The sequence below is a fragment of the Homo sapiens genome, chromosome 13 (genome assembly GCF_000001405.40).
Source record: "Homo sapiens chromosome 13, GRCh38.p14 Primary Assembly".
Taxonomy (NCBI): Eukaryota; Metazoa; Chordata; class Mammalia; order Primates; family Hominidae; genus Homo; species Homo sapiens.
Genome location: NC_000013.11, coordinates 32745464 through 32758732, shown reverse-complemented (window position 1 = coordinate 32758732; position 13269 = coordinate 32745464). Strand labels below are relative to the sequence as shown.

The 13269-nt window shown below is 34.8% G+C and overlaps 1 protein-coding gene across 9 annotated transcripts in view, besides 1 other annotated feature; it reads right to left on the bottom strand.

The window, feature by feature from the left end:
* Positions 1–13269, bottom strand: part of PDS5B (PDS5 cohesin associated factor B) — a 191568-nt gene that overhangs the window by 19287 nt on the left and 159012 nt on the right. For all 9 annotated transcript variants that reach the window (XM_005266298.5, NM_015032.4, XM_017020452.3 and 6 more), the window contains 5 exons: positions 12633–12756; positions 5197–5401; positions 2777–2891; positions 514–646; positions 80–199 (listed from right to left, as the gene is read on the bottom strand). In XM_005266298.5, coding sequence (XP_005266355.1) covers positions 80–199; positions 514–646; positions 2777–2891; positions 5197–5401; positions 12633–12756 — 697 coding nt within the window. The remainder of the gene's footprint in view (positions 1–79; positions 200–513; positions 647–2776; positions 2892–5196; positions 5402–12632; positions 12757–13269) is intronic.
* Positions 8108–8402: a silencer, noted in NCBI's record as "tiled region #5009; HepG2 Repressive non-DNase unmatched - State 16:ElonW". NCBI's record gives its function as "represses a minimal TATA promoter and a strong SV40 promoter by Sharpr-MPRA in HepG2 cells {active_cell/tissue: HepG2}" and the evidence as "EXISTENCE:reporter gene assay evidence [ECO:0000049][PMID:27701403]".

Below are 13269 nucleotides of genomic sequence, written 5' to 3'. Positions count from 1 at the left end.
TCCTTCCTGATCTTCCTACAATCCAGTGCTGAGAATACATTTTATTTCAACTTACACAAACAAATTGTAAAGTAACTACCTTGTCAGGTTGAGTGAAGAAACGAGCTGGTAGTACCGGGTCTTTAGGAGATTCCAAACTGTATGTAGTACTCTTTGACATGATGATATTCATGGCAACATCACACACAGTGTACAGTTTCTGCAATAGTATATTTTTAAAAACACAGATACTTAAGCTGGCAATCTAGACTCTGTAAACTAGGAATAATTTCAGAACATGAATCCAGTCTGAATAGCAAACTAATGAAAGCAACAGTCTGTGTAAGCATCTTAGCTTACACTACTGGTTTTGCTCATTTACTTGTAATAAAATTACTGCTAATTCTACGTAATTCTAATTACTAATAGAAAAAATTATTTGATGCTATCTATAAATACTACAGAAGTTTCATACTTTACACCTAAATTTTTAAATCAATATGGAACCATAATTATTTACAAAGAATTACATACTTCATTCATTTTTGCATCATCTGGTCCTTGGGCATCTTTTGTTTGTTTAATATTTTCTACCATCTTTCTGATAAAAGCGTGACTGTTATTTTCATTTTTAGCCATTAATATTTCCAGAACAAACCAAAGACATCTAAAAAAAAAAAAAAGGAAAAAAGAAATATAGAAGAAAATCATCCTTTGTTAAATATAGATACAATAATTCTAAATATAAATATAACAAACCTAGATAATATAACTCCAGGAAGAAAAAAAAAAAAGAAACAGTTACAAACCAGCAGGGAAAAAGAATATGTCATACAAACATATAAAAACAGGTCAACAATGCAGATATGAGCTTATAAGATCCCTTCTTAAAATCTCACCAGATTTCCAAGGAGGCGGGTTAAAGGGGAAACATAAATGGTAGAAAGGATGAAGTTATCTTAACCCTCAGCTATGACAGGGAGTTAAAGACTGTCAAAGGAATAGTGGGGCCACGGATCAAGTGAGGCCTCAGATACTCAAGACTGACTACAGTCCTGATGGGAACTCTTCAAGAGAATATAACTGCCTTATTAAATATGAACAGTTAAGAATATTCAATAATAGAGAGAAAAAGTCAAGATTGACAATTATAAGCATTGTCTTTGCTTAAAAAGGGAAAAATTAAAAGAAAGCTTCAGTAGCTCAGTTTTAAACTTAATTACGTAAAACTCTATTCAATACAAAATGAAAGTGTTTTGCCTATGTATTATAGAGACAGAAAGGAACAAAGTTATAGTTGATACATAGAGGAGAAAAGTAATGGGAGAAGGAGGAGAGAAATGTGAAGCAAGGTATTATTCTAGAACAGAAAAGAAATAACCTTTAGGAACTTAGGTATAGGATAAGTTCTTCTGAAGTGGCTCCCTGATAGAATGGAGATTATGCATGGCTACACTGGGGCTACTTAGAAATATAACCGTAAGTGTCTAGTAAATTCCAAAGGATGTTTTATTTATTTTTAAAAACCCAATGTTCTCAGAAAGAAGTGGCTAGAAGTTTTCAACAGTTTTAATCACTCTAACACAAAACTAATTTTGATAGAACTAATTTTTTTTTTTTTTTAATAGAGACAGAGTCTCACTCTGTTTGCCCAGGATGGAGTGCAGTGGTGTGATCTTGGCTCACTGCCAACCTCCACCACCCAGGTTCAAGCAATTCTCCTGCCTCAGCCTCCCAAGTAGCTGGGACTACAAGCACGCACCACCACATCTGGCTAATTTTGTTGTACTTTTAGTAGAGACGGGGTTTTGCCATGTTGCCCAGGCTGTTCTGGAACTCCTGACCTCAGGTGAGCCACCCGCCTCAGCCTCCCAAAGTGCTGAGATTACAGGCATGAGCCACCAGGCCTGGCCGAACTAATTTCTTATTTTTTAAAAAAGGAAACTGCAGTGGGAAAAAAAGGGCATTTTTTCCTTTGCCATGAGAATTCATCATTAATTTGATTTTATTCTCCTGAGGCTTCTCAAATTATTTAACTATAAAATACTTCTAAAAATTAAGACATTAAGAAACATTTTAATATAATAGGAAACTAAAGGCATCATAAATTAGTTGATTAAAAATCCCAATGGTAATCTTTTATTGTAACTGAACAAGGACCAGGGTCTCGAGCTTATTTAAAGAATTATGCTGGTCTTAAAGATTTCTCTAAATATCACTATATTCCTATTCCCCACCCAGGCATGTACAGTGTTTTCAGTCTTTAAGCAATAATCTTTGAAAGAATTACAAATATTTTAAACTCTAGTTAGAGAATCACCAATTAAGTAATAAGTAGGAGTAGTTCCCCAGTTACGAATTTGGCCCATTGTTAAAATTAGACCATTCTCCTTCTACAGAGGAAGATAGTTATTGCAAAGAAAAATGTGCTTACTACATGAGTAAAAGCAAGATGATTAATTGACCTCACATGAAAATCTACACAGTTTCAGAAGGAAGAAGGAAAAGATAAGAAATGGAATGGAAATTTTAATGAATTACTTCAATAGAAAAGGAACACCAGACTGGTACAGAAACATAACTATAATAATTATGATTAAGTTTTGGGAAACTACATTAAAAATGTAATATAAAGAGATGGTATGAAAAAAGAAAGACAAGAGAGCAAATAAAGAACCTTAAACACCTAAGAAATGAAATACATCAATAAACTAATTATAATTGAGATCCAATTATCAGCATTAAGGAGAAAAAATAACTTTCAGAAAATATGAAAATGGGATGGAAAAAGTCTTACTCTTTAACATCTTTAAGTTGTTCAATATCCTGTACTTTGACATAATCTGGGTCATGTGCCAAAAGGTGAATTGTATATGGAACAACATACTCTGGTAGAAGAGACAATAATTTTTCTGAAAAAGAAAACAAACAAACAAACAAAAAAAAACAAAAGAAAAAGCAAAAAACAAAACAAAACAAAAATATCCAGGTTAGAAAACCAAATCTTACATACTCTTTCTTTCGTACTATATTTTCTGCATCCCAACAGTTCACCACAATGACTTGAAGAAAAATATATTGAAATACCCTGTGTTGAGGTACATGATAAACAGTCTATTCATTCATCTACCATGTTCAATATTGAAATGGCCTACTAAATACACCATGGGCTGAGGCTACAAAAACAAATATTTCAGTTTTAAAATACGTAAGGAAAAAGTGACCCAAACAAACTATATTCAAGAGTGAGAGAAAAAACATCTATTTTTCCTATTAGAAATGACCCTATGTTTAACACTCTCTTGTAAGCTGCTGAGCAAAATAAGTAACATCTAGTATTTTTCAGAGTCAATATGGAACAACAAGAGGTTGATACTAATTGTAACAGAAAAACAGAATAAAGGAACAGACTTAAGAGTTTCTAGGGCATTTTAAATAAAGAAACAGCTATTTAGTTTAAATGCAATTATTTTTGTATGTTGGCTGAGATAAACATATTCTGTTAAAGAGGTCAGAATGGTAATCCTAATTGGTTTAATAAGGGGTACACATAGACTGGGACTCATATTCTGGACAATTTCCATTTATATTTCCTATTTGCCAAATAAAAATATAAATTGGATGTTTTAACCTCATGTATATGTGTCAATAAAGCATCAAATTTTCTTTATTTCTATTGCTAAATCTACAGAGAACAGTTTGTGTGTAACATCATTCATTTCAAGGCCGACGTGGAAAGAAAAAGGTAACACAGTTCAAAATCTGGTGAAATTAAAATTAAATTCTATCAAATATTTATTGACTGTTTACTATGTTCCAGGCCTATATTAGAATCTAAAAATATAAAGATGAGTAAGACTAGGTAAAGAGCTCACACTAAAGCATAATCAGAGACAGAAGCTACACTTCAATGTGAAAGGTGCACCAAAATAAGAATGGCTAACACATACTGAGCACTTCTTTGGGCCATACATTATGCCAGGCACTGTATGTAATTTTTTAAATTCTCACAACAACCACAAGCAATCAGTATAATTATATCAATTTTGCAAATAAGGAAACTAGGGCACAAATGATTAAGTAATCTGCCAAAATACGACAGGTAAACGGCAGAAGTGGGATGTGACTGCAGACCCCTCACATTTTCCAGCGTAAGGAAGGAAAAAAAAAGAAAGAGGGTCACAGTGATGTGGTAACCCCAAAACTGTATTTTAAAGCATTCAAAAGGTGTCAACCATGTTCCTTGGTTTTGTTCATTGTTTGTTTGTCTGGAAACAGGAGGCAATTTCCAGATAGAGTTGACAACAGAGAAAAAAGACTGTTACACAAATTTCAAGTAATCGAAAGTAAATGAAACACAGATTTCATAATAGGGAGCAGAAAGAAAGCTTGAAACTCAGGCTGAGAGCAAACTATAAAGGGCTATAAGGTGTTTCAACTTTATCCCACAAGCAACAGAGAATCAACAGAAATTTCAAGTAAGGGACTGATGTGATCTAATCTGTTTTAGAAGGATAATTTTGATAGCAATGTGATACAGCAGGCAGTGGGTCAGAGGCACAGGAACAATTACAACAGGGAGGCAATGTATACAACAATCCAAGTGAAAATATAGCAAGGTAGGAGAGTAGAAGATAAATGTTCAAGACATTTGGAGAAAGAATTAACAGAATTTGGTGACGGATGAGAGGAGGGAAAAAAGGTATGAATAATGCCTCTGATTTCTGAGTGAGATAACTGGATGGATTTTAATGCTGTTTGTTAAATCATGGAAGTCAAGAGGCACACCAACTAACCTCAATGGGGTAAAGTGAGCAGATGAAAAGTAGGCACGCAAACACCTGATATTAATGTCAGCTACAGGTGAGAACAAACAACAAAGATCAAAGTCTTGTACTTTTTTCCAATTAAAATAAGATAATGCTCAATCTATATAAATGTACAAATTTTACTATTCTGTTAAAAGTACCTCCAATGTCATTGTTTATTTTCCTTGGCCATTTAGTCCTTTACATAAACAGATATAGGTTGATATTTAAGTACCATGCATTTTTTAAATGACCTTCATATTAAATGAAAAGCAGTTATTGAAAAATGGTAATAAAAATTGTTAATCACAAATAATAAATAACAGTAATATCATATATCATGCTATATTCTATAAAACTGAAACTAGCAGGCTGAAAAAGTATCCTTTCCATTTTCTTATATGCTTACCACTAACAGCTGCATGCTGCTTCAGATACTCCCGCCTTACATTTATATTTTTCACCAAACATTGCCTAGCATGAGCTCTTCTCTCCTTTACAGGATCTTTTGCACAAAGGGCACAGATTGCCATATACTCAAGTGGAAGCCGTAAACGGGAAAGGCCTTTGTGAAGTTTCTGGGCAAACACTTGTCTTACTTGATAGCATTCATCCTGTAAAGACACAATTATTCCAGATATTATTCAAATGGCAGCAAAGAGTAACAACTTCAGATATAAAATTTGCTATTTTAAGTAAAGAGTAAACAGTAGCAAGTTTATCTACAATAATTGCTTCACTGCTCACAAGAGTGAGATGTTGTGACTAAAGTTCATTTTGAAGCTGCAATATTCATCTGGGCCCTAATAAGTACCAGTTAGATGTGTTAGAAAACAAACATACTTTTAAAACAGAAAAAAACTAGTAAATATAAATCTGCCCTAACTTAAATAAGATACAAAAATTAAGGCTTAAACACCATCTCATATATATCTTTTTCATTTACTGGGCAAGATAAAACTGCCCAATTTATACATTTTAGTTCTGTCACTGAAAAAAACTATTCATATTAAAATGTACAACTCTAGCTGGGCATGGTGGTACACACCTGTAGTCCCAACTACTCGGGAGGCTAAGGCAGACATAGCAAGACCCTGTCTCTTAATAAAGAAATAAAAAGCACAACTCTGAAGGTAAGGATTACTAATCCATTTCAGAAACACCAAATTATTTTGACTTCTATACTTAAACCAGGCTGATTATTACCCGTGTGCCTGCTTAACTCATACTACTCCCCTCTCCTAAACTACCCACCCCTAGTCTCCTAGCTAACTCCTACTTATCCTTAAAGATAGCTTATATATCAGACAGAACGCAGTGTGTAATCTGTATCCAGCACCCACCTCTGTGCTCTTAGCATTCTGTACTTATCTCCAGCATAGCATTTAGTATAAAGTATTAAAATGATTGGTTTAAATGTCTGTCTTACCCACCAGTACTTGTTCCTTGAAGAAAAGAATTATGTTTTTATCTCTCTAAGCCTAACAAAAAACCTGGCACATAGATGATCAGAAGTTTTTCTGAACGACACTAGCTCCCCCTTATCAGTGGAGGTAGAGGATACATTCCAAGACCCACAGTGGATGCCTGAAACTGAGGATAGTACCAAATCCTATATATATTACGCGTTTTTCTATATATAGATACCTATGATAAAGTTTAATTTATAAATTAGGCACAGCAAGAAATTAACAGTAACTAATAAGATAGAACAAGTATAACAATATACTATATAATAAATGTTATGTGAATGTGGTCTCCCTTGTTCTTAAAATATCTTACTGTGGAAAAGCAAAACCAAAGATAGGGGAGACTACTGCACAGGGAAAAGTTCAAACTTTTCTATATGACCTACAAAGACCTTCATGATTACACCTTACACTCCACCAATTAAATAAGGTATGGTGTGTTTCTTACTATTGTAACAATTTCTTCATCTAGAATGATCATTTAGTTTATCTTCCCCAAAAATCTTGGTCATAACATCTCATCCTTATCTTTAAATCCTTATTTTAAAATCTTCTTTCATTTCATTTAAATTTCAGTTTATCAAAATACCAAACATCTAGTTTTACAGAAGTAGTCTAAACTAAAGAGCTTCTGCACAGCAAAAGAAACAAACCATCAACAGAGTAAACAGACAAACTACAGAATGGGAGAAAATTTTTGCAAACTATGCATCCAACAAAAGTCTAATATCCAGAATCTCTAAGAAACTTAAATAAATTAACAAACAAAAACCAAACAACTCCATTAAAAAGTGGGCAAAGGACATAGACACTTTTCAAAAGAAGATATACACACAGACAACAAGCATATGAAAAAATGTTCAACATCGTTAATCATTAGTGAAATGCAAATCAAAACCACGAGATACCATCTCATACCAGTCAGAACGGCCATTATTAGAAAGCCAAAAAATAATAGATGCTGGTGAGACTGTGGAGAAAGGGGAGCACTAATACAATGCTGGTGAGAATGTAAATTAGTTTAGCCATTGCGGAAAGCAGGTTGGTGATTTCTCAAAGAACTGAAAACAGGACTACCATTTGACATAGCAATCCCATTACTGGGTATATACCCAAAGGATTATAAATCATGTCTACCATGAAGGCACATGTATGTATGTATATGTTCACTGCAGCACTATTCACAACAGCAAAGACACAGAATCAATCTAAATGTCCATCAACAGTACACTGGATAAAGAAAATGTGATACAGATACACCATGGAATACTACATGTGCTTTTTGCAGCAATATGGATGGAGCTGGAGGCCATTACCTTTAGTGAATAAAGGAACAGAAAACCAAATACTGCTGTTCTCACTTGAAAGTGGGAGCTAAACATTGAGTACACATGAACACAAAGAAGAGAAGAACAGACACCAAAGCCTTCTTGAGGGTGGAGGGTAGGAGGGTGAAGATGGAAAAACTACCTTTTGGGTACTATGCTTATCACCTGTGTGATGAAATAATCTGTACACCTAACTTCTGTGACAAACAATTTACCTAGATAACAAACCTGTACATGTACCCCTGAACCTAAAGTTTAAAACACACACACACACACACACACACACACACACACACACACAGAGGGAGGCCGGGCGCAGTGGCTCACGCCTGAAATTCCAACACTTTGGGAGGCCAAGGCAAGTGGATCACCTGAGGTCAGGAGTTCGAGACCAGCCTGGCCAACATGGTGAAGCCCTGTTTCTACTGAAAATACAATAATTAGCCAGGTGTGGTGGCAGGCACCTGTAATCCCAGCTACTTGGGAGGCTGAGGCAGGAGAATCGCTTAAACCCGGGAGGCAGAGGTTACAGTGAGCCGAGATCACACCACTGCACTCCAGCCTGGGTGACAGAGCAAGACTCCATTTTGGGGGGAGGAGGGGGGAATTAGCTGTAGGGAGGGAAGGGGAAGAAGCAGTCTAGTTTTCACAGAAAGTTATCTACCCTCATACTCCACGAAACAAAGTTAACATTAACTCACCCCGCCCTCAGTATCAGTCCCACAGAGGAGAGGAGTCTCCGTTATAGATTTACTATGAAAATACCCAATTACAAACTGGGTAAGTAAAAATCCACATATCACAAGCGTATTCACAAATGAACAGGCCATTCATTAAAATCCCAATCAAGTCCAGGTTTTTGTCCCTCTCTGACTAATCATTCAGGATGCAACAATACAAGACAAATTAATTGCAATGTCAATCCTTGAAGCATCACACAAGTAGCAGGTTTTCAAAAAGTCATCAAAGTGATGTTAGAGAACTGTGAAATCATAGGCAACTCCACTAACATAAATAACAACTGAAGAAGAGAAAATTAACAGGAATGATGACACACACATAGGTACTTCAAGAGAATCATGTGAATAAATAAGTATAAAAAGCGCTACTGGGAACTGAGGAAGTCTTCAAATATTTTTCTGCAAAGATGATTATCCTTTTGACTGGTATTACAAAAGTTAAATGTGAAGTAAAGAATAGAGTAATACAATTTTATCTGAAAAAAATGTACCCTCAAAAAAGCAAACACTGGATATAATTGGTTAAACATAAGAAAAAAACAGATGGTGTCTAATACTACAAATGTCCCCGCCCCCCCAGATAAAGTTCCAATCAAAGCTTTTATTCACTACTGACTATAAAATTAATTTTAGTCTGCAGCTTAAGTAAATTCACTTTTAGTAGCCTTTTCTAGTACAAAGTATCTCAAAACTACCATTAATACCATGTAATTAGTTTGTGTATCTCATTGTATTATTGATACATCTCTATTTTCTGTTCTCCTAAGAGATTGTTAGCTTCTTTGGGCTATAACCATGACTTACTCATCTTTGTATTTCCAGAACTTAGAACAATGTACAGCACACAGAAGTACAGAGTAAATCTTTCATGAACTGAATTCCAAGTTCTAAAATATCTAAGTAATTATTAAATTATGTTAAAATTCATATTGTTTTATTAAATTTCTCCAAATGTACTTTCTGTTCAAATACATAACAGCAGCCTCCCAGATACAATACTGCATTTAAAGAGCCTCAAGAAATAAAGTACATGTACTAAAGCGCAAAGCATAGTCCTGTACGTATCAGAGGACTGCAGATAAAATAAAAGACTCAGAGCAAGTTTTGTAAAGAAGGTTGTGTCTGAGCACTGACTTGCAGAAAGGGTTAGGTTGGATGTGTGGAAATGGGAGAGTAAAGAGAAAATTAAAGGCAGCAAAGTACAAGGCACAAAAAAGAAAAAAAGCTGTTCAGCTACATGAAATGAGGTTAAGTAAAGGAGAGTGTGCTCAACAAGATTTTTAAGCGTACATTTGGGTTAAAATATTAGAGGGGCTCAAACACCAGGTTGTAAAATACGTGCAGTTGTTTTTACAAGCATCAACCCCCTAAATATTTTAACAGAGGAATGACATGATCATAACTGTAATTAGGGAAATTTACCAACAATAAAAAAGATTCCCAACAGTCTTGGTGAGAGCTAATGATGATTACAGCAATAAGAATGGTCAAGAAAGTAAGAATAAAAATTATATAATGGATATCAAAGGACAGAATTATCTGTACTTTGCAACAAGGTGCAAGGACAAGCCAAGAGTCAAATATAAACCATGCTTTTAGGTATAAGAAATGCCATTCAGATTTATTTAACACTTATATAGGCTCTTCATGTCAAGAAAGAATAGATCTGTGAACTACTATATTTAACACTTACATAGGCTCTACATGTCAAGAAAGAATAGATCTGGGAAATATTATAACTCTCAGTATTATATTCACAGAACATAAAAGTATAAAATTTCTGTTTAGCACTTGAAGTAGGACCCGAGTCTTGAAAAACCTTAACGTTGCTGATGTAATAGTCACTTACATAGATGATGACATGGCCAAAGAAGACTGTGTAAGTGAAGAAGTTGATCCTAGACAGATCCTCACAGAAGACATACATTTAAAAAAAAAAAAAAAGAGGAAGAGCCAGAAAATGTAATCAGATAAGTAAAGCAACAATCAAGAGACAGAAACCAAATAAGACAGTTTTAAGAATAAAGAAGCAATGAGTTGTGTCAAATATAATGAAGCCCAGTATCACTGGACTTGAGGACTTCAACAGGACATTTCTGGAAAACAACAAAGGCAAATGACAAAATATGAACAGAGAAGACAGGATAAGAGAGTAAGAGAGACAAAGATAGATTATTCTTTCTTGAGGTTTGGAGGTTTAAAAAGAGGAGATGAGCATATGATTTAAAGGAAGAACAGATTACAGAAAAGCTTTGCTTAAAATAGGGTAATTTGATATGTTTCTAAGTTGTGAGAAGATGCTAGTAACTGATTTTTAACCACTGACACATGTTCCATAGTCAAGATAATTCCAAAGCAATCTTAAAGTTTAGGCCATTTGAACTTTCACCTTGGGAATTTGGTGCTTGAGGTGGCAATGTATAACAAATATTTGCTAGAAAAGGAAGTCCTTAGAAGTCAGTAACTGTGGATGCTTTTTACTTAGAGTGGACATTTACCTAATGGCTGGCACATACTTCTTATATACTGTTTCAAATAAAGTCCATTTCTTGTATTTGCATACTTTGTGTTTTTTAAATATTTCCACTTCAATAATGATAGCAGCAAATGCTCTAAGAAATGCCATACCAAGAACCTGACAAACAGACTGCAGGTCTTCCCAATTTAATAAAATAATTACATATGTTGGTTTCTTCTAAGAAACGTGATAGATGCTTTTTAAACAATTTTCAGTTTCTTTTAAGATTATCTCCAAAAATTAAGTGGGGAAACTATACCAAGGAAGTTATGGGCTCCCCCCAAATTTTTTTTTTTTTTTTTTTGAGATGGAGTCTCGCTCTGTTGCCCAGGCTGGAGTGCAATGGCACGACCTCGGCTCACTGCAACCTCTGCCTCCTGAGTTCAAGCAATTCTCTGGCATGAGCCACCACGCCCGGCCGAAATAGCTGTTTTTAAAAGACTGAAGTACCAGTCTTGACAAATCATTTGACAAAAATGATTACAATTTAAAAATAGATGACTGTTTGTGTCTAGAGAGTTATACATAAGTGGCAATTTAAAAATATGTACTAGAATAAAGGGTGGGGAGGAAGAATTGCAATGATCACTGAAGTAAATTCTTAAGACTACTTGGAAAAGAAGAGAAAAACTAAGTGTAAAATAACGAAATTATTAATGAAAAACTCATACTGAAAGTATTTTATTTACTAATGTGAAAGTCCCTTTTACTTTTCTCAATGATGCTAAAGACTTCTAAAGCGGTACAGCCCAAATATAAAGTTACTCTAACAAGAAATCCATAAAACTGTAATAGGAATCTGAAAGTTTCACTGCTTATAATCTGAAAACTTAACTCACTGAGTAATAAGGAATGCTTCTAACCTGAAATTAGTTCTATGTCATGTCTTTATAAAAGTATAAATTTCGATACTGTTGTTTTCCTTTCAGGAACTGAACACATACAGTCAGTCTTCCTTATTTGTGGATTCTATATTTAGGAATTTGCATACTCGTTAAAATTTATTTGTAACACCAAAATTAATACTTGAAGCAATTTTTGGGTCATTTGCAAAGTAAATACACAAAGCAGCAAAAAATGTAAGTAGCCAGATGTGCACATTCCCAGCTAATGTCAAAGAAGGCAACACTGTGCCTTCTTGTTTCAGCTTTCATACGTAAACAGTGTCCTTTTTGAGGTCTATTCAGTGCCACATTTTTCACAGTTTTGTGGTTGATGTTTTTGTTATTTCATGATGAAGTACTGTCTGGTGTTTCAAAGCACAAGCATAGCGATGAACTGCTGTCTGGCGTTCCAAAGCACAAGAAGGCTCTGATATTCCTTACAGAGAAAATGTGTGTGCTAGATAAGCTTTGTTCAGGTATGAGTTACAGTGCTGTTGGCTGTGAGTTCAGTTGAGACAACTATATATAATAAATAGTCTTTAAACAGAAACATACATAAAACAAGGCTGTATATTAACTGGATGATGAAAATGTTGTGGCCAGGGGCTTGAAGGAATCTATTCTGTGAGTTCTCCTAAGAGCAACTGTTCAGTATCTGCTAACTGAATGCCTGTGATAACATTATAGAACAAAACTATTACAAAGAAGAAGATCAACTGTACTATGTTAGCAACCCAAAACTCAAATGACAGTTTCAGAACTCTGAAATGTTTCTCATGCATAAATTTTTCAGAAACAAACAAACCATACACATTCAAGATTTTAATCTATGTATCACAGTGGATGTTTTTCCTTCCTAAAAGTCAAAGACCTTCAAAAAGTAGTTGTACACAGCCATTTCCTTACGTTGATAGCTAATGCACATAGCTGATATTGTTCTAATGTGATGATTTCATGGTAACAGGGTTCTTGTGCCAGCTTCACAATAGCACTCCCAGCAGCAAGTCTCAGACGTGACATATCTGGTTTACTGAAAAATGAGTAGAATGAATATAGATTAGCATTTAAAATATTTGTACAAAATCTTCTGTACATCTAATTTTATTAAAAATTCTGGCACAAAAAAGTTTAAAAAAAAATGCTGTGATCTGAATGTTTGTGTCCCCCAAAATTCCTATGTTGAAATGCAAGTACCTAGGAGATAGTATTAGGAGGTGGAGCCTTTGGGGAGGTGATTAGGTCATTGTGGGAAACCCTCATGAATGGGATTAGTGTCTTTAAAAAGTGGCCTGAGAGGGCTTGTTTACCGCTTCTGCCATTTGAGGACACAGCAAGAAGTCAGCAGTCTGCAACCCTGGAGAGGGCCCTCACCAGAACCCAACCATGCTGGCACCCTGATCTTGGATTTCCCAGCCTCCAGAACTGTGAGATATAAATTTCTGTTGTTTATAAGCCTGGTATTTTATTACAGCAGTCTGAGCAGGCTAATACAGAAAATAATTTAGCAATACTGAACACCATATTATGCTCATTTAACTTTGGA